Source organism: Homo sapiens, chromosome 5, assembly GCF_000001405.40.
Source record: "Homo sapiens chromosome 5, GRCh38.p14 Primary Assembly".
NCBI classification, from domain to species: domain Eukaryota; kingdom Metazoa; phylum Chordata; class Mammalia; order Primates; family Hominidae; genus Homo; species Homo sapiens.
This window is the reverse complement of record NC_000005.10, coordinates 15,897,875-15,919,585: the sequence shown is the minus strand read 5'-3', so window position 1 is coordinate 15,919,585 and position 21,711 is coordinate 15,897,875. Positions and strand designations below refer to the sequence as shown.

At 39.6% G+C, this 21,711-nt stretch overlaps 1 protein-coding gene across 5 annotated transcripts in view, besides 1 other annotated feature; it reads right to left on the bottom strand.

The window, feature by feature from the left end:
- Nucleotides 1-21,711, bottom strand: part of FBXL7 (F-box and leucine rich repeat protein 7) — a 439,614-nt gene that overhangs the window by 20,208 nt on the left and 397,695 nt on the right. The gene's annotated exons all lie outside the window — the stretch shown is intronic.
- Nucleotides 207-708: an enhancer, noted in NCBI's record as "NANOG hESC enhancer chr5:15918987-15919488 (GRCh37/hg19 assembly coordinates)". NCBI's record gives its function as "activates a minimal SCP1, AML or CMV promoter by ChIP-STARR-seq in naive H9 embryonic stem cells {active_cell/tissue: H9 hESC(naive)}" and the evidence as "EXISTENCE:reporter gene assay evidence [ECO:0000049][PMID:30033119]".

Genomic DNA, 21,711 nt, shown 5'->3' with positions numbered 1-21,711 from the left:
AGAGGATTCTTTAAAGTTTAAGAACTTGTGGTTCCATTAATAATTTAAAATACTTTCAAGTATTTGTGTGGGAACAGTATGTTTTTTATTCTTAAATTACTTTAAATGTGTAGAGTACCAAAAAAGTATAGCTGTCTTTTTCTGGGGAAAAAAAATCCTAAAAACTTTCTCATGGTTTCAAAAGTCTTGGAAATTTTATATCGTTAGTAATTACAGTATAGTATCAAAATATTCAAGACATCTCAGACACACATGCTTATTAGACACATTTTCTTTTAACTAGATAGCTGCCTGTTTTGTACAAATTTTTAATTTCAAACCACTGTTGTTTACACTCTAGGAAGTCATATTTACATTACAATGGCCTTTCAAAGTCAAAATTTACAAAGCTCCTCTTCATCTTCCCCCTCTGATTACCAAAACTTTTGTGCAAGATGCTTTCTATTATAAGTTGTCTTTTTCCTCAAGAACTCTTGCCATAAAAAGCAAGATTTCTTTTCTTAGCTTAAACTCAAGCTTAAAAAAATAGATCAATAAAACCTAGCTAGTGAGAAAAGAACACAATCTGAGCGATCGTTTTTCTTCTTGTTTTACTTAAAAATATTTTCTTTTAATGTGGTTCAGATCATCTACACAACCTAGAACCTACTTAAGGCATTAGTTGTGATAAAGTAGAAATGTATGCAGACGTTAATCTTGCATTTCACCTGGAGGGAGTTAGCTTTAGGACTCAAGAGTTCTTGCTGAGAATATCGTCCAGCAGTTGGTACCCCCCAGGATCAGACGATGGCAGAGACTCCTGTCCAAGGACAAAAGACCTGCTTTCTTGGTCACATGGACCAGTCTGATAAGGGTAGCATTGTGGTGACTGATGTGTGGGAAATTGGCGAGGATGGTGGAACTCATGTAATATCAGTCACAGAGGCCAGTCCACTGTTCAGCTCTTCACTGAGTCACAAACCCCAGTTTTCCAGTGTTGCCCAGTTTTTGAGTCTGATCCGAACTAAGCGTGGGTTTTGTTTTTCCTTTAGCTCTTCTAGAAGGGAATATTCATACAGCTAAGGAAACGTTTAAGCCACATTGTTCTAAAATCCATAAGTATATCAATGAAATGTACAGAATGCACTTTTGAAATCTATAATACAGTTTGGTTTTTGCCTCCAGTGTGAGTATCTAGAAAGTATCTTCTAAGAAATTTCTGTCCGAATAAAGATTGGGTGGCCTCAGAAAGTGTGTGAGTCCTAGATTATAATCCATCAGACTCTTCATGGTTTTATCAAACAACTTCTTAGTACCCTCTTTTTCCTTAAATCGCAGAAGGACTTTATTCTTTTCTTTTTTTCTTTTGAGACGGAATCTCACCCTGTCACCCAGGCTGGAGTGCAGTGGCATGATCTCAGCTCATTGCAACCTCTGCCTCCCAGGTTCTAGTGATTCTCCTGCCTCAGCCTCCTGAGTAGCTGGGATTATAGGCGCACACCACCATGCCCAGCTAATTTTTGTATTTTTTGTAGAGATGGGGTTTCACCATGTTGGCCAGGCTGGCTTCGAACTCCTGACCTCAAGTGATCTGCCCGCCTCAGCCTCCCAAAGTGCTGGGATTACAGGCATGAGCCACTGCATGTGGCCTGTAATATTTACTCTTTAATGGAAAGCAGGAAGTTTCATTTTCATCCCTGAGCTAGAGTAGCATTGCTATTAGAGGCCACTTTTTTCACAAGGCAAGGGGTTAATCTCCTATGGTAGAGAATGTTTCTAGAATATCTTTAAACATTTGCTGATGTCCCTTTTTAATGAAAAAAAAAAAAAAAGGCATAAGCCTCTGATTTAAAGTCTTTGGCAGGCAGTAGTATTTCGCTAGCATCGTCCTTCCTTCCTTCCTTTCTTTCTTCCTTCCTTCCTTCCTTCCTTCCTTCCTTCCTTCCTTCCTTCCTTCCTTCCCTCCCTTCCTTTACTTTCTTTCATTTACTTTATTTTTGAGACAGGGTCTTACTCTGTCACCCAGGCTGGAGTGCAGTGACATGATCAAAGCTCACTGCAACCTTGAACCCCTGGACTCAAGGGATCCTCCTGCTTCAGCCTCCCGAGTAGATGGAACTACAGGCACATGCTGCCATGCCTGGCTCATTTTTAAAATTTTCTGTAGAGATGAGATCTTGCTATATTTCCCATGTCCTGAACTCCTGGGCTCAAGTGATCTTGCCACCTTAGCCTCCAACATATTGGGATTACAGGTGTGATTTTTTTTTATTTCAAAATCACCATATATTTATGGCGAGTGATACTGGTTTTCCAAGTAAAACTATAATATTCAGCTTTTAAATAATAATTTAAGTTTACTTTAAAAATATTAAGTGAATATCGGTTGAAGTGGTGAGCATATATGGAAAAAATCATGAGAGCAGAATGTCAATGTCTTAAGTTTAGAAAACACTGTTGAGGTGGAAAGAGCATGGACAGAAAAACCTGGATTCCTAACTCTACTATGTGCAGCTTGTATCATCTGAGGCAAGACACTGAAACTCCATGAGCCACAGATTCCTCTTACGTAAACTGGAAATAAGTCTACCCACTTCACAGAGTATTTAGGCAGAGTCTATGAAAAGTGATACTACCATCAGTACAGGCATTAAAACAGTTACACAACTTCTATTGAGGACTTCATGGGAAATGCATTCTGGGCCCTCCTGCTATAGGGCAATGTTTTTAGAGGCATATTATTCTGGATTCCCTGGAATACTCCCATCTTTATAAATTCCTTATTGTTGCCTCCATTAACCTTTGGCTGGAGGTGGAGGGAAGATAAAGATAAATTCCATGGTTAGAGCACAATGTACTTACTCTTTGTTAATAAAATATGGCTATTTCATTTATTGGTAAAGGAATATTGTAATTGTGAAAGCCCCTTTTCATAGTTTATTAAATGAAATTTGTTTTCCTCGGATATGGTAGACTGCATTCTCCTTGAAATTTTTCCTCTGCCTTCTGCAACACTGTCCTCTCTTCTGCTTTTCCTTTCTGCTTCTCAGGTGTCCTTTGCTCACTCTCTTTTGTGGTATACAACTTATACACTGATGTTCCCCAAGGGTTGCACTCTTAACTCATCTCTGTATCTGGCTCCCTGCTCGATGGGCTCACGGCCCACAAGGCTTCAGCAATTGCCTATAAGCTAATGACTCCCCAAATTCGATTTTCAATCTAGACCATGCTCCCCCATCTCTGCATCTCTCTCAAATATCAAACACACATGTCTAAGTACCTGCTAGGTCAGTGCTCTCTAATATGGTAACCACTAGGCACAGGTGACTATTGGAAATTAAATTTATTAAACTGAAAATTCAGGTCCTCAGGTGCACTAGCCACATTTCAAGAGCTCAGCAGCCACAAAACAGTATTTTACATAGCACAGGCATAGAATGATTCCATGGAGTTCTATGGACAACTAGTCCTCTCCCCACAAGTGTATTTGATGTATCACCAATACAATGTGTACAAGGGTGAACTCATCAATATCCTTTGCAAAACAAAAGTTCCGCCTTACGTTCTGTATTATCATTAGTGGCATCACCATTCATCAGGTCTGCCTCCCAGGATAGAACCCTAGGAATCATCTTGAATCCTCCCTGACCCTCATCTACCTATATCTAATCAGTCCCCAAGTCCCTCACTTTGACTGGCTATGGATTTCACGTCTGTTTCCCTTCTCTCTCCACTGCTCCCACCCTGCTCAAGTGCTCATCATCTCTCATCTCCTTTCAACAACTCGTTAACTGAGACTCCTGATTCTAGTCTTCCTTCCCACCCTTCACCTTACTAATATGGACTCCATCCTGCATTCAGGGTTTACTTTCTAAAATATGGACCATTTTTCCCGGCATCAAAACCTTGACTAGCTCATTCCTTCTGTTACGGGTTGAATTGCGTCCCCTGCAAAAGATATGATGAAGTCTTAACCAGCCCTGTGTCTGTGAAAGTGACCTTATTTGGAAATAAGGTCTATTGACGTATTAGGTTAAGAGGAGGTCATGCTCGATTAGAGTAGACTCTTAATCCAATATGACTAGTGTCTTCATAAGCAGGCAAGACAGAGACACAGGGTATAGACACAGAAAGACTCATATGCAGAGGGAGATGGCACTGTGAAGACGGAGGCCGAAACTAGAGTTACACTGCAACACTCCAGAAACATCTGGGGCTTCCAGGAGCTGCAAGAAGCAAGAAAGGATCCTACTCCACATCTCTGTCAACACCTTGGTTTGGGAATTCCAACCTCTAGAACTGTGAGACAATAAATTCTGTTGCTGTATGCCACCTAGTTTGCAGTATTTTGTTACAGCAGCCCAGGAAGCCAGTACAGCTCTTTCCACACTTTTATATTGAATGCTTACTATATGCCAGGCATTGTACGGAACACTACCCAGGGAACAAAATCCATTTTTTAGAGTATGTATGAGATTCTTCCCCAAAATTTACATTGCAGAGCACATGCTCATGTTCTCCCAGCCCAGAAGGCCTGTTTCTCCAGATTAACTGATGAATTTTCAGTCATCACTCAAGCTCCTGGTCAGAAGTCAGCTTTTCTGCCAAGCCTTCCCAGATCCAGCAAGGCTGAATTATTAATATTTAGCTACTTTTAGTGTTTCCACTGAATTCAAATATATCTGCATCATAGCCCTTTGCACAGAGTGCCTCTCCATCCAGTATACTGTGAGCACTTCGAGGCCAGGAGATGCCTCCTTCATCTCTGAGTCAGTCCAGAGTCTTATATGGATTCAGCCACCCAGAAGCTGCTCAACTAATGCACCAAGGGGAGAATGTGCTCGCTCGGTCCTACCACAAATCACTTTCATTTTCTTTTTGGTTGCAGTTGGAAATATTTACAGGAATTACTTGGAGGAACCAGATGTTTCAGATTGAAGAAGTTGGAACATTTCTGTGATTTATCAATATTTCATTTTCAGGTCTTTTGTTTTTGCCCCTCCACTTAATTTAGGCTTAGCTAGTACATACACTTAGTTTAATAGTATTAATCTACTCAGAAGATATTTAAAAAGACACATGTACACCCAAAAACAATCTCATGCAGCCCACATCACCTAAAGCATCTCAGAACCAAATGCTTGGTGCTTTTTTCTTCACAATACCTGCTATCATAGATTATCCAGATCCCTGCTCATTCCTTTTTTTTTTTTTTTTTTTTGAGAGGGAGTCTTGCTCTGTCGCCCAGGCTGGAGTGCAGTGGCGCGATCTCGGCTCACTGCAAGCTCTGCCTCCCAGGTTCACACCATTCTCCTGCCTCAGCCTCATGAGTAGCTGGGACTACAGGCACCCGCCACCACGCCCGACTAATTTTTTGTATGTTTAGTAGAGACAGGGTTTTATCATGTTAGCCAGGATGGTCTCGATCACCTGACCTCGAGATCCGCCCGCCTCGGCCTCCCAAAGTGCTGGGATTACAGGCGTGAGCCACCACGCCCGCCCGGCCCCCTGCTCATTTCTAATAACAACGATACCTGAAAACTCACAATAAATAAAAATGAGTAACACTTTTACATTGGCCCAGAATTTTAAGATCTCTACTGTTGAAATTTAGTTACCTAAGATGTAACAGAAACTTTTGTTTGTATTCCTGTCCCCCTGCCCTCCCCAACCCCCGAACTAAGTCACGCATCAACTGTAATAACTGGAACTGGCTTCTCTTTGACAGTGTGGAAGCGACAGTATTTCTAATTCCCTGTCTTCCAGAGAGCTCAGAGATAGTTTTGCAAAGCTTGGGAAAGGAGCCAGCTCTTTCTTGTCTTGACAAGAGAAGAAACACATGTATTTTCATGCAAAGGCTTGCAATCCGTAATTTTCAATCTTCGAGTTGCACTTTATGTAGCTGCCTTAATTATTTTCTATATTCAATTGTCAGATAATTCTTTAGTCTCATTTCCCCATGAATAGTTACAAAATTCCAACGTTTACATCTTTACAATAGATGGCATAGTATTGAATTTAGATTCTAGTAAAAAGATACTAATACATTTTCAGTTCACAGCAGAAAACAAGCCCCACAGGGAGCAATAGTCTAGCTCACAAATTCAACTTTCAACGAGAAAAAAAGAGAAATCTCCACTAAACTTACGACCATGTAAAAGATCAATAAGTAATTAGAACACTTTCATAGCATAGTGAATCCTTGCATTTCCTTAGTCATTTGAAAATATGATCGTTAGTGGGTGCAGCGCACCAGCATGGCACATGTATACATATGTAACTAACCTGCACAATGTGCACATGTACCCTAAAACTTAGAGTATAATAAAAAAAAAAATTAATAAAAAAAAACATTAAAAAAAAAAAGAAAATATGATCCACTGTTGTTGAAAATCTTTACAACAATTTCTTTTAACATAAAGTTTTGTGTAAAGCACTTACTATATCCAAGGCACTAAGTGCCAAACAAATGTAAACTCATAAATTCCACATTCCCATTAACATTTTTAAATGCTTGGAAAAACCAGTGACCCAAGGATATAGAGAAACATTTTATTCTTTCTATATTATCAAATATAGAGAGAAAGAACACGTAAAGAGACTTAGTACACTTAAACATTGTTTAATTTCTCTGCTAAGGGTCTCTCTGCAGCACGCTGGGCTCTGATTCTAAAGGTCACCTTATATTGACCTGGGATACATTTCGCATGGGTAGTTCCCTGGGCCTACTACAGTCTAAGTTCATAATCTCTTCTTTAAAGACCCCAGAGCCCCTTTCTAGGGCAGGGCTTTTCCAGTGAATGGACCCAATATTAAATAGCACAAAGACTGGCGTTTCGGTGGGTCCCTGAGTGCGGGAGGCAGGACTTTTATGGTGGAGTAACATGGGCCTAATTCTAGAGTGATCATCTTAGTTTTCAGAACTTGTCATACTTCTTTTTTTTTTAATAGAAAGCTCCATTTTAATGCAAAGTTAATAATAATGTTTTGGAAATTCAGTTGTGGAGTAGAATTCAAGCAAACTGAAATACTTGTGGAAAATCCTTCTAGGTCGGTGGGGAGGAGCCAAGATGGCCAAATAGGAACAGCTCCGGTCTACAGCTCCCAGCGTGAGCGACGCAGAAGACGGGTGATTTCTGCATTTCCATCTGAGGTACCGGGTTCATCTCACTAGGGAGTGCCAGACAGTGGGCGCAGGCCAGTGTGTGTGCGCACCGTGCGCGAGCCGAAGCAGGGCGAGGCATTGCCTCACCTGGGAAGCGCAAGGGGTCAGGGAGTTCCCTTTCCGAGTCAAAGAAAGGGGTGACGGACGCACCTGGAAAATCGGGTCACTCCCACCCGAATATTGCGCTTTTCAGACCGGCTTAAGAAACGGCGCACCACGAGACTATATCCCACACCTGGCTCAGAGGGTCCTACGCCCACGGAATCTCGCTGATTGCTAGCACGGCAGTCTGAGATCAAACTGCAAGGCGGCAACGAGGCTGGGGGAGGGGCGCCCGCCATTGCCCAGGCTTGCTTAGGTAAACAAAGCAGCTGGGAAGCTCGAACTGGGTGGAGCCCACCACAGCTCAAGGAGGCCTGCCTGCCTCTGTAGGCTCCACCTCTGGGGGCAGGGCACAGACAAACAAAAAGACAGCAGTAACCTCTGCAGACTTAAGTGTCCCTGTCTGACAGCTTTGAAGAGAGCAGTGGTTCTCCCAGCACGCAGCTGGAGATCTGAGAACGGGCAGACTGCCTCCTCAAGTGGGTCCCTGACCCCTGACCCCCGAGCAGCCTAACTGGGAGGCACCCCCCAGCAGGGGCACACTGACACCTCACACGGCAGGGTATTCCAACAGACCTGCAGCTGAGGGTCCTGTCTGTTAGAAGGAAAACTAACAAACAGAAAGGACATCTACACCGAAAACCCATCTGTTCATCACCATCATCAAAGACCAAAAGTAGATAAAACCACAAAGATGGGGAAAAAACAGAACAGAAAAACTGGAAACTCTAAAACGCAGAGCGCCTCTCCTCCTCCAAAGGAACGCAGTTCCTCACCAGCAACAGAACAAAGCTGGATGGAGAATGATTTTGACGAGCTGAGAGAAGAAGGCTTCAGACGATCAAATTACTCTGACCTACGGGAGGACATTCAAACCAAAGGCAAAGAAGTTGAAAACGTTGAAAAAAATTTAGAAGAATGTATAACTAGAATAACCAATACAGAGAAGTGCTTAAAGGAGCTGATGGAGCTGAAAACCAAGGCTCGAGAACTACGTGAAGAATGCAGAAGCCTCAGGAGCCGATGCGATCAACTGGAAGAAAGGGTATCAGCAATGGAAGATGAAATGAATGAAATGAAGCAAGAAGGGAAGTTTAGAGAAAAAAGAATAAAAAGAAATGAGCAAAGCCTCCAAGAAATATGGGACTATGTGAAAAGACCAAATCTACATCTGATTGGTGTACCTGAAAGTGATGTGGAGAATGGAACCAAGTTGGAAAACACTCTGCAGGATATTATCCAGGAGAACTTCCCCAATCTAGCAAGGCAGGCCAACGTTCAGATTCAGGAAATACAGAGAACGCCACAAAGATACTCCTCGAGAAGAGCAACTCCAAGACACATAATTGTCAGATTCACCAAAGTTGAAATGAAGGAAAAAATGTTAAGGGCAGCCAGAGAGAAAGGTCGGGTTACCCTCAAAGGAAAGCCCATCAGACTAACAGCGGATCTCTCGGCAGAAACCCTACAAGCCAGAAGAGAGTGGGGGCCAATATTCAACATTCTTAAAGAAAAGAATTTTCAACCCAGAATTTCATATCCAGCCAAACTAAGCTTCATAAGTGAAGGAGAAATAAAATACTTTATAGACAAGCAAATGCTGAGAGATTTTGTCACCACCAGGCCTGCCCTAAAAGAGCTCCTGAAGGAAGCGCTAAACATGGAAAGGAACAACCGGTACCAGCCGCTGCAAAATCATGCCAAAATGTAAAGACCATCGAGACTAGGAAGAAACTGCATCAACTAATGAGCAAAATCACCAGCTAACATCATAATGACAGGATCAAATTCACACATAACAATATTAACTTTAAATATAAATGGACTAAATTCTGCAATTAAAAGACACAGACTGGCAAGTTGGATAAAGAGTCAAGACCCATCAGTGTGCTGTATTCAGGAAACCCATCTCACGTGCAGAGACACACATAGGCTCAAAATAAAAGGATGGAGGAAGATCTACCAAGCCAATGGAAAACAAAAAAAGGCAGGGGTTGCAATCCTAGTCTCTGATAAAACAGACTTTAAACCAACAAAGATCAAAAGAGACAAAGAAGGCCATTACATAATGGTAAAGGGATCAATTCAACAAGAGGAGCTAACTATCCTAAATATTTATGCACCCAATACAGGAGCACCCAGATTCATAAAGCAAGTCCTCAGTGACCTACAAAGAGACTTAGACTCCCACACATTAATAATGGGAGACTTTAACACCCCACTGTCAACATTAGACAGATCAACGAGACAGAAAGTCAACAAGGATACCCAGGAATTGAACTCAGCTCTGTACCAAGCAGACCTAATAGACATCTACAGAACTCTCCACCCCAAATCAACAGAATATACATTTTTTTCAGCACCACACCACACCTATTCCAAAATTGACCACATAGTTGGAAGTAAAGCTCTCCTCAGCAAATGTAAAAGAACAGAAATTATAACAAACTATCTCTCAGACCACAGTGCAATCAAACTAGAACTCAGGATTAAGAATCTCACTCAAAGCCGCTCAACTACATGGAAACTGAACAACCTGCTCCTGAATGACTACTGGGTACATAACGAAATGAAGGCAGAAATAAAGATGTTCTTTGAAACCAACGAGAACAAAGACACCACATACCAGAATCTCTGGGACGCATTCAAAGCAGTGTGTAGAGGGAAATTTATAGCACTAAATGCCTACAAGAGAAAGCAGGAAAGATCCAAAATTGACACCCTAACATCACAATTAAAAGAACTAGAAAAGCAAGAGCAAACACATTCAAAAGCTAGCAGAAGGCAAGAAATAACTAAAATCAGAGCAGAACTGAAGGAAATAGAGACACACACAAAAAACCCTTCAAAAAATCAATGAATCCAGGAGCTGGTTTTTTGAAAGGATCAACAAAATTGATAGACCGCTAGCAAGACTAATAAAGAAAAAAAGAGAGAAGAATCAAATAGACACAATAAAAAATGATAAAGGGGATATCACCACCGATCCCACAGAAATACAAACTACCATCAGAGAATACTACAAACACCTCTACGCAAATAAACTAGAAAATCTAGAAGAAATGGATACATTCCTCGACACATACACTCTCCCAAGACTAAACCAGGAAGAAGTTGAATCTCTGAATAGACCAATAACAGGCTCTGAAATTGTGGCAATAATCAATAGTTTACCAACCAAAAAGAGTCCAGGACCAGATGGATTCACAGACGAATTCTACCAGAGGTACAAGGAGGAACTGGTACCATTCCTTCTGAAACTATTCCAATCAATAGAAAAAGAGGGAATCCTCCCTAACTCATTTTATGAGGCCAGCATCATTCTGATACCAAAGCCGGGCAGAGACACAACCAAAAAAGAGAATTTTAGACCAATATCCTTGATGAACATTGATGCAAAAATCCTCAATAAAATACTGGCAAACCGAATCCAGCAGCACATCAAAAAGCTTATCCACCATGATCAAGTGGGCTTCATCCCTGGGATGCAAGGCTGGTTCAATATACGCAAATCAATAAATGTAATCCAGCATATAAACAGAGCCAAAGACAAAAACCACATGATTATCTCAATAGATGCAGAAAAAGCCTTTGACAAAATTCAACAACCCTTCATGCTAAAAACTCTCAATAAATTAGGTATTGATGGGACGTATTTCAAAATAATAAGAGCTATCTATGACAAACCCACAGCCAATATCATACTGAATGGGCAAAAACTGGAAGCATTCCCTTTGAAAACTGGCACAAGACAGGGATGCCCTCTCTCACCGCTCCTATTCAACATAGTGTTGGAAGTTCTGGCCAGGGCAATCAGGCAGGAGAAGGAAATAAAGGGTATTCAATTAGGAAAAGAGGAAGTCAAATTGTCCCTGTTTGCAGACGACATGATTGTTTATCTAGAAAACCCCATCGTCTCAGCCCAAAATCTCCTTAAGCTGATAAGCAACTTCAGCAAAGTGTCAGGATACAAAATCAATGTACAAAAATCACAAGCATTCTTATACACCAACAACAGACAAACAGAGAGCCAAATCATGGGTGAACTCCCATTCACAATTGCTTCAAAGAGAATAAAATACCTAGGAATCCAACTTACAAGGGATGTGAAGGACCTCTTCAAGGAGAACTACAAACCACTGCTCAAGGAAATAAAAGAGGACACAAACAATTGGAAGAACATTCCATGCTCATGGGTAGGAAGAATCAATATCGTGAAAATGGCCATACTGCCCAAGGTAATTTACAGATTCAATGCCATCCCCATCAAGCTACCAATGACTTTCTTCACAGAATTGGAAAAAACTACTTTAAAGTTCATATGGAACCAAAAAAGAGCCCGCATTGCCAAGTCAATCCTAAGCCAAAAGAACAAAGCTGGAGGCATCACACTACCTGACTTCAAACTATACTACAAGGCTACAGTAACCAAAACAGCATGGTACTGGTACCAAAACAGAGATATAGATCAATGGAACAGAACAGAGCCCTCAGAAATAATGCCGCATATCTACAACTATCTGATCTTTGACAAACCTGGGAAAAACAAGCAATGGGGAAAGGATTCCCTATTTAATAAATGGTGCTGGGAAAACTGGCTAGCCGTATGTAGAAAGCTGAAACTGGATCCCTTCCTTACACCTTATACAAAAATCAATTCAAGATGGATTAAAGATTTAAACGTTAAACCTAAAACCATAAAAACCCTAGAAGAAAACCTAGGCATTACCATTCAGGACATAGGCGTGGGCAAGGACTTCATGTCCAAAACACCAAAAGCAATGGCAACAAAAGACAAAATTGACAAATGGGATCTAATTAAACTAAAGAGCTTCTGCACAGCAAAAGAAACTACCATCAGAGTGAACAGGCAACCTACAACATGGGAGAAAATTTTCGCAACCTACTCATCTGACAAAGGGCTAATATCCAGAATCTACAATGAACTCAAACAAATTTACAAGAAAAAAACAAACAACCCCATCAAAAAGTGGGCGAAGGACATGAACAGACACTTCTCAAAAGAAGACATTTATGCAGCCAAAAAACACATGAAGAAATGCTCATCATCACTGGCCATCAGAGAAATGCAAATCAAAACCACTATGAGATATCATCTCACACCAGTTAGAATGGCAATCATTAAAAAGTCAGGAAACAACAGGTGCTGGAGAGGATGCGGAGAAATAGGAACACTTTTACACTGTTGGTGGGACTGTAAACTAGTTCAACCATTGTGGAAGTCAGTGTGGCGATTCCTCAGGGATCTAGAACTAGAAATACCATTTGACCCAGCCATCCCATTACTGGGTATATACCCAAATGAGTATAAATCATGCTGCTATAAAGACACATGCACACGTATGTTTATTGCGGCACTATTCACAATAGCAAAGACTTGGAACCAACCCAAATGTCCAACAATGATAGACTGGATTAAGAAAATGTGGCACATATACACCATGGAATACTATGCAGCCATAAAAAATGATGAGTTCATATCCTTTGTAGGGACATGGATGAAATTGGAAACCATCATTCTCAGTAAACTATCGCAAGAACAAAAAACCAAACACCGCATATTCTCACTCATAGGTGGGAATTGAACAATGAGATCACATGGACACAGGAAGGGGAATATCACACTCTGGGGACTGTGGTGGGGTCGGGGGAGGGGGGAGGGATAGCATTGGGAGATATACCTAATGCTAGATGACACATTAGTGGGTGCAGCGCACCAGCATGGCACATGTATACATATGTAACTAATCTGCACAATATGCACATGTACCCTAAAACTTAGAGTATAATAAAAAAAAAAAAAAATTTTTTGTGGATCCTGAACAACTAAAAAATAATAATTATGGTAAAATACATGTTACATAAAAAAAAAAAAAAAAAAATCCTTCTAGGTCAACTATGTAAAATAGCTCTATAGAATGGGGACCTATCATAAACTCTGCAAAGCACCCATATCTCAACAGCCTATAATTTCTGAGTCATGTTTCTCTTTAGAAAGATACTTAGAAGTTTATATTTATAGGCTGTATTTCTTAATGGCATTTAAATCAAGTTTGAAAAAATAAATTTAAATGTAACTATATAACATAGCATTGACCAATGTGTAAAGCTCCTCAATAAAATTTTGCAATATCATTAAAAAAAAATGCCTGGGTTTGGAACCAGGAGGGAAGGAAGTGTACATTTGATATGTTGGCGATGATCTTTATTTAGAACCACTTTTCTAGGCAATCTTTGCTTTTAGTTCCCTTTTAAGCAAATTCAAGGCTTATAACTCAATCATAAAATAAACAGAATGGTGGATTCTGGCTCATCATTTACGTTGATATTTTATATACTAGGATGTTGCGTATTCAGCATCCTAGTATGGTAACATCCTAGTTGGTTACACTTCCTGTTCCCTCCAGGAAGTTATGATTTTACATTGTGACATGGGTGGGGTTGGGGTTGGGGTCGAAGAGGAGGCACAAGGGTAGATTGAGTGTATTAATTATGACCTATCCTCTCCATTCCTGCCTTCTGTTTTCTTTCTTATGTGTCCCCCAAGCCACATCACAATATTCACACTTTTCTGATGGGCAGACCACTTTGTTTATCTTCATAAGTTTAGAACTGAACTGAAAATATTTAATTCTTGCCAGCAAATGTTAACAGTCTGACATCATATTCCAGGCTGGTGGCCTGAGCTTTCTTCAAGATTTTGTTGTTGTTGTTACATTTGTTTGTTTGGTTTTTAAATATCTCTCTGTTAAATTAGTAAAAGCAAAGAGGACTGAAGATACAAAAAAAAAAACAACACCATTTTTCCATATTAATTATTTATGGGACTGAACAGAGGTTGACCAGATGGAAGCCTCAGGGTGGAAATTGTTTTGGTTCATTCAATACAAACTGTCTTAAAAAGGATTCCTCACTCTAGGCCAGATTATTTGCAGGCTGGCCTCCAAGCAATAGATTAGTCCTCTTTGGTAAAAAGACCACATCTTTTAAAATGGTTCAAAAAGTGAAAATAAAATGAAAACAACACCTTAATTTTAGCTTAAAAAGAGAAACTTCAGTGTTTTATTGTCTTAGAATTAATTTTAAGTTCATTTGAAGGAAGCAAGCATGGCTTATAGCTAAAAGATTGCTTCATGTTGCTTTATGGATCAGGAAAATAAAAAGTTGATTAAAACAGTGTCTTGCAAAATGGCCAAGTTGGCTCTTTTGGCAATGTCAAGAGTCTTGTGAAATAACAGAGCTGAATATCCAGTGATTGACTATGGTAATGCTTAAATGTAGTGCAGAGAAGCACAGGCCACAAAGAACAACTTTTGCTTTTAGTTCCTGTTTAAGCGAATTCAAGGCTTATAACTCAATCATAAAATAAAAAGAATGGTGGATTCTGGCTCATCGTTTATGTTGATATTTTACATACTACGATGTTGCATATTCAGTATCCTAGTATGGTAACATCCTAGTTGGTTACAGTTCCAGTTCCCTCTAGGAAGTTATGATTTTACATTGTGACATGGGTGGCCAGATATTAGTACTTTTAACATTTTTCTTAGGCTAATGTATTAACTAAAGAGCACACATTATTATTATTATTAAAAAATAACTCATAAATACAGCCAAATATATATGAAATAGAGATTTTTTTAGGGAAAAATTTAGGAACATCTTGACAAAGATTAATGTGCAAGATATCAAATACATAGTTATTAATATGACTGTTTTTTGTGGGTGTCTTGCATTCCTAACAAATAATTTTGACTTTGACCACAGTTGTTCTTTATCCTTTGAAACAGTTTTTCTCCTTATGATTCGAATTGTGTAAAGACCAAAATAAAATTAGAAGCAACCCATTCCAACCATAATCTATCTAATAATCATAGCAAGGAATCTCTGCTTTTGCCACAAAATCCACAAAGAGTTTATAATTATCCCTCTTTAGAGTCTGGCATTGCTCTGTAATCAAAAGAGGGAACAAAGTGTATTGTGTATTCACATGACGGTTATGAGTTTTGTATTGTTTCATTTTACATGAGTACACAAGATGTCAGAAAGGGTCTGTTGCTGTTTACATTTGACTAACAGATAACCGAGTAGGAACAAATCTGGTTCAAATCTTGAAAACCTATCAAAACACAAGACGACATCTTTAAATTAGAGTTGCTAAGAAAAATGATGCTTGCAGTAGTCTTATGACTTTACTGATAAAAAGTAAGAAAAATAGAAAAATGTAGCTACGAAGATTTAGAGATACTCTTATCTTATGCCTCAAAATGTAGTAACTATTGTAAGGTATACTAACAGTGCTGTATTTCATGGTGTCAACCTTACACTTAGATCCCTGAAATAACCATTATTTCTTCCCTTCCCTTACCATAGGCTATAAAAAAGTACTCTCCAAAAGTTACATAAAAAGAAAGCCATTAACTACAATTCTGATTTTTATATTGTGAAAGGGCAGAAGATAGAAAGATAAAAGAGTTCTGCCACCTCTGTACTGGATTTCTTTGAATGAATTAATGGCACTGTCCTCTAACCTGTTTGTTTTAATTTAATTTAATTTAATAAAAATTCTTAAGTTGACAAATAATAATTGTACATATTCATGGGGTACACAGGGATCTTTTGATACATATAATGTATAATGATCAGATCAGGGTGATTAGCAGAGCCATCACAATTTGAGTTGGGTGAGAAGAGAAAGAAACATTAAGTTGCTATACTGTCAAGTTTTCTAACCTCCTTTAAAGGATATTCCAAAAAAAACTCTATTAAAATTAAGAACTAAAAGCATAAAAAATGTCAGTTGGAATAAATTGTGGGTTTCCCTACTCCTTCTCTGTTTTTGTATGAAGGAAGGAATAATTATTGCTAGTCAGAAAGACTTTCACATTTATACATAGGCCAGAGGTCAGGAAACAACAAAACCATGTCAATGCAGAGGGTGCTGGTCTTTCTGGAGACAATGTGCCAGAATTTGGAAAGATGTGGAGAACCTGTCAGATTTCATGGTGCTTACTCTAAACCCCTTCTCCCAACCCCTGAATTAGAGTGAACTCCAGGTAGGCAGGATTTATTTGTCAGAATCCTTCAGTGAAAGAGTTGAGAGTCTGATCTTTTAAGAAACATTTTCTTCCCTAGATGGGTCCCATTCTCTACTCGATTGCTCCTGAAATGTTATACACGAAGTTTAATATCGACTTTGAAATGGCCTCTACCCCTCAATGTAGTCATTTGGCTTGCTTGGCCTTCAACCCAGTGGATTTTTTTCTGCAAGTGGCTCCCAGTGGTCCTCACAGTGGTGATGCTGTATCTTTCCTGCCCAAGCACTTTTGCAGAAGAGCTCTGGAGCCCAGACCCGTGGTGGGTTGGACACTAGTCAGTCCCACGGGGCTTGCCCTGCTCTGACTGCCTAGACCTACTGCTCGAAGCCTGCATCATTAGCATCATTGCAACTTTGCCAAGAGGCTGCACTGTGCTCACCTAGAAAGCCAGAAGTGAAAATACTGAATCCACCCCGAAGGACTGACAATGACAACATGATCTTGGATTTCTGAGTACAGCTCTATTATTTCTCTCAATTTGGAGGACTTGCTGAACCAACTCTACTGCTGCTTCCTGAATGGTTCCAAGCCAACTTGAAATCTATTTAAGGGGCTTCAGAAAAGCAGCTAGCAAATTCTGTCATCAAGAGTAAGCTTTACACACAAACATGGGCAAATTTTGAAAGCCACTGTCACCAATGGAGCCATACACTGGGATAATAAGAGCAGACAAAAGTAAATCACATGTGAAATCTGGATTGTACCAACTTCCTCAAGTCATCTGGACACTTTTTTCTTTTAATCAAAGCCTCTGAGTTCTTCTTTGTATATTATTCAGTTGTCTTCATTATGTCAACATAATGGCAGCAAATGGCAAAAAGATGCTGGCTGAAAACATCAGCCCATTTAGATAGTAATAGTAATGACTGTGTGGACACGGATGCAACGTTTGGCACTCCGTACTGTGGAGACAGGAAGAACTCTAGGGCTTCACGGTTGGGGCTTCTGAGCCTTCTAAAGGAAACAAACTAATAACTCCGTAGCTGTAAACATCCTGTTCCAATCCAAATATTGAACATGCTGTGGGGGAAGGGGGAAAACTCAGCCATGTGGAAGCAAGACAACCAATATAAAACCGTCACTGTGTACTCCCCATACAGAGAGAAGGTTAAGAGCAACAAGATGGGAGGCAGCTGCATGGAACCTGTCCCACTGAGGAAGTAAAACAGGTAATGGGGTGGCAGCATGAGAGGAGTGGAGTGTTTATGGGGCCTATTATATGCAAGTTTTCTGGCCATATAATCATCACATCACTTTTGCTAGTCTGAACAATGCAAGTTAAATGTTGAAGGATGCAGTTAAATGTTGAAGGATGCAGTTAAATTTCCTAGGTCCTTGCATTCTGAAATTGGTATTTACCTGAAAAATAAACCTATACAACATACAGCAAGACACGGCAATCATATCCAGATTAAAACTCTTCAAGAATGAAAAACCAAGTATTAACACTCATGAATGAGTATTTAGTGCACTGTGCTATGTATGAATCAAAAATCTTTTTGAAGTGAGAGAAATTATCCAGGTCTTCGTCCTACTCAGAAGGGCAATACTTTGTGAAAAATTTAGCAGTAAGATCTAACTTTAGCTTCATCCCATTTTTGTTTGTTCTAATGTCTTGTGGGTCACTTAGAATCTTGTAGGGAAGTAAATTATGGATTATTAATTTAAAAACATGATAACAAGGGAAGGAACTTTTGGTCCTCCCAGCATTCATTATTTAGTGCAATAGACTGAATGTGTTTATATCCTTGCAAAATTCATGTGTTGAAACCTGATTCCTGATGTGCTGATATTTGCAAGTGGGGTCTTTGGGACGTGATTAGGTCATGTGGGCAGAACCTTCATGAATGGAATTAGTGCTTTTATGAAAGGGACCTTAGAGAGCTCTCTTGCCCTTCTTCTACCACGTGAAGACACAGTCAGAAGACAGTCATCCATGAATCAAAAAGCAGGCCCCCACCAGGCACCAATCTGCAGAGGCTTGATTTTGGACCCCTCAGCCTCCAGCTGTGAGAAATACATTTCTGTTGTTTATAAGCCATCTAGTCTGTGGTATTTTTGTTACAGCATCCTGAACAGAATAAGACATTCAGTGAACTGTAGTGGTGGAGTATACATTAATAGCTTTTAGAAATTGGGGTAGCCACTGAAGAATGCATTTTTAGAGTGGCCACTGAAGAATCTACTTCTGATTTTTCTAATTTTTCCACATGTGTTTTTGAAGTTAAGCAGGTTCCTACTTGATACTTTTGAAGAATTTAGGTTTCATCAAGAGTCCAGAGTGCTCTAAAGATTCTTAATTTCAATGAAGCACTTTTTATGAGTTATCTGTTTAGCTTTTCTTCAGATTGTAAAGTAAACTTGTTCTAAAGAAAACTGGAAGCCTGAAAATTAGGCCAAGGGGCACATGCTCTTCTAAATATTAGCAGAAGTTGGAGTAGCAATGATTTTCTTTGTCCTTGAACCAAACCGTTTACATTTCAGACAGTCCATACTACTTCAATTCTTATAATCATCATTTTTAGTTTTATTGATTTATTTGTTATTTGGAGACATTTATGATGTACTATGATGTTTGCTCATAAGGTTCTAAAGTTTATACCTTTGATTTGTTTTTATATGCTGCCTTGACTTCTAAAGGAATCCAAAATAAAACGTTTGCTGGGAATTATAAAGAATTTCATTGAGAAAGTAAAAAAGAAAAATCTATGCAAAGGAAGTGATTCTGTTGTTTAATGCCATCACCTGTCATTCTGTCTCTTACCATGGCTGGCTTGGCTAGTGGCACCACGAACAGATCCCTACAGACCCCAACACCAAGAAAAGTAGGTTTTTCTTCTTTCTTTGCAGTTCTTTGGTATAGATTGATGTTACTAGGGTGGTGGAAGGCCATCGTGTGAGAAAAGATTACACTTAGTATTGAGGAATGTGGTGAGGATGACTTCCTTTTTCTTACCCTAATAATGGACTTTTGTTTTTAGAGATGCTGTCCTGTAACCTCAGGTTTAAGATGAGGATATTTCTGGATCCAGTGTTTGTACAGTACTATTAATTATTTATTTCTTCGTGTAAAAAATAAATTGATTATATTCTTGTGAGCTTAGACAACAGAAGGCTGTCCCAAGTAGGACCATTCCCTATATGCTGGAAGAAAAAAAAAAAATTGAGCTGACCAAGCTGAGAACCTGAGTTGGATCATAGTGTGGTTACCAGGTAGACTTCCCCAACAGATATTCCAAAGGCCAGTTAATCTTGATACTAATTCTCAGTACCAGGGACAAATTTCTGCATCAAAGACCCTGAGGAAATACTTGGCGACATTTTCTTAGGTGTGTATCTTTAAAAAGCATTAAAGATGAGTTTCATATCTTTGGTCATTACCACCAACATTCTTATAATAAGTCTGTTGAAAGCTCTTTCCCTTCTCAGTTATTTGCAGGAAGGTCTTTATGGGCTCCTGAAATTTTTTCTTCTCATTAATGATTTAGATTATGGGTCTTTTTGTTTCAGATTTCCCTTTCAGGCCTCTGAATAGTTCCTGACTGGGGAGACTGCATGACATCACCCTTCTGAGCTTCTCTAAGGCATTGATATGGTTGTTCTCCAGGTCTTAAGCACTGCTGGGGCAAAACTAGGGTTTTTTGGTTTGGTTTGGTTTCTTGATTTTCTTAAGTCATTCAGACCAAAGCTTATAAAAAAATCTTGTAAAACTTTGCTTTTCAAATCCGCTTATCTCAATGATAACTCCTTTTTCATAGAAATGTTATCACATGCTATCATTTCAATCAGCAGAACACTTGAATCATTACACTGTTTCAGAATTAAAGTTAAGAGTTAAAAATATTGTAATGATTGGCCAGGCGCGGTGGCTCACGCCTGTTAATCCCAGCACATTGGGAGGCCGAGGCAGGCGGATCACCTGAGGTTGGGAGTTCAAGACCAGCCTGACCAACATGGAGAAACCCCGTCTCTACTAAAAATACAAAATTAGCTGGGTGTGGTTGCACATGCCTGTAATCCCAGCTACTTGGGAGGATGAGGCAGAAGAATCGCTTGAACCCAGGAGGTGGAGGTTGCGGTGAGCCGAGATTGCACCATTGCACTCCAGCCTGGGCAACAAAAGCAAAACTCCGTCTCAAAAAATATATATATATATTTTGTAATGATTGATAGAATGTGTGTATAAATATATATATAATGATTGATAGAATGTGTGTATACATATCTCACACACATTTATATTATATACACATAATCTTGGTTTTGAAAGCTCTGTGACTTATTCAGTCCTTTCAAAAAGGAGGAAAAAAAAAATCCTTGTAATTTGCTGGCCAAAAAATAAATACTTGGCAAAGGCTGAGCAGGAGCAATGAAGTGACATCCCAGATGAAAGGCAACAGAAACTGAGGAAATGGCGCTGCAAACGCATGTGGTATTGAATGGGTTCATAACACAGCTCTGAGCTGCCGTTTTTCTATGGGCATAATGGATTAGCTGAGCCGAGAATACATTGAGTTTTCTCCTCGTGTCTATGGGAACTATTTCAGGTGAAGAACTGTATCCTGCGACACATCTTTTTAGCTTGAGGCTAAAATCTAAATTTTACCATAAAAGCACTTTTCACATTTCTATGCCTAAGGACAATTTTGTTGGAATCAATGCACAAATCTCCTTTGAGAATGATGAGTGCTCAAGACAATCTCTTCATTTCTCTCTTTTAATGCTGACTGATAGGCAGGATATCCCTTCTGCTTTCTCCCTTTTTCTCTCTCACACACATAAATGTTATGTGTCTATCAATCAGTCTCGTGGTTGGCTGACATTGCACTACCCCTATATATCACTACCAGGTTTTTGGTGACCATTGCTTAGGCCTTTTCGTCATGTTTTCAAGTAAATTAACAGAATTTTGAACGTGGCTGGGGAGAAGGAGGCTCAGACATTTTCGTCCCACCAGAAATGAGTAGCTGATGGATAGTTGCTGGCTGAACAAATGTTCCAGCTCATGAAGTCCCTGGCTGGGGCTGAGTTTACTTTCTGAGTATCTTCACTCTGCCTGTAGGTGAAATCCTGGTTTCTCTTACTTTGGATGCAATAGCTATACTAAACAAGGCTGAAGACAGATCTTCATAGTCATGAGTTTGGAAAACATGGGATTTGTATTGAGGAGGAGGTGGAAGTGAATGGGAAACTCTGGCTATATACATCACTAAGTCTATCGCATTTGCATGCTGGCTTTGCAATGTGTCTCATTATTTGTAGGAGTCACAGTGACATTATGAAATATATTGATAGTGATGGCCTCCCAATGGGTTTCACACCTTCTACTCTTTTCCAACTCTAGTC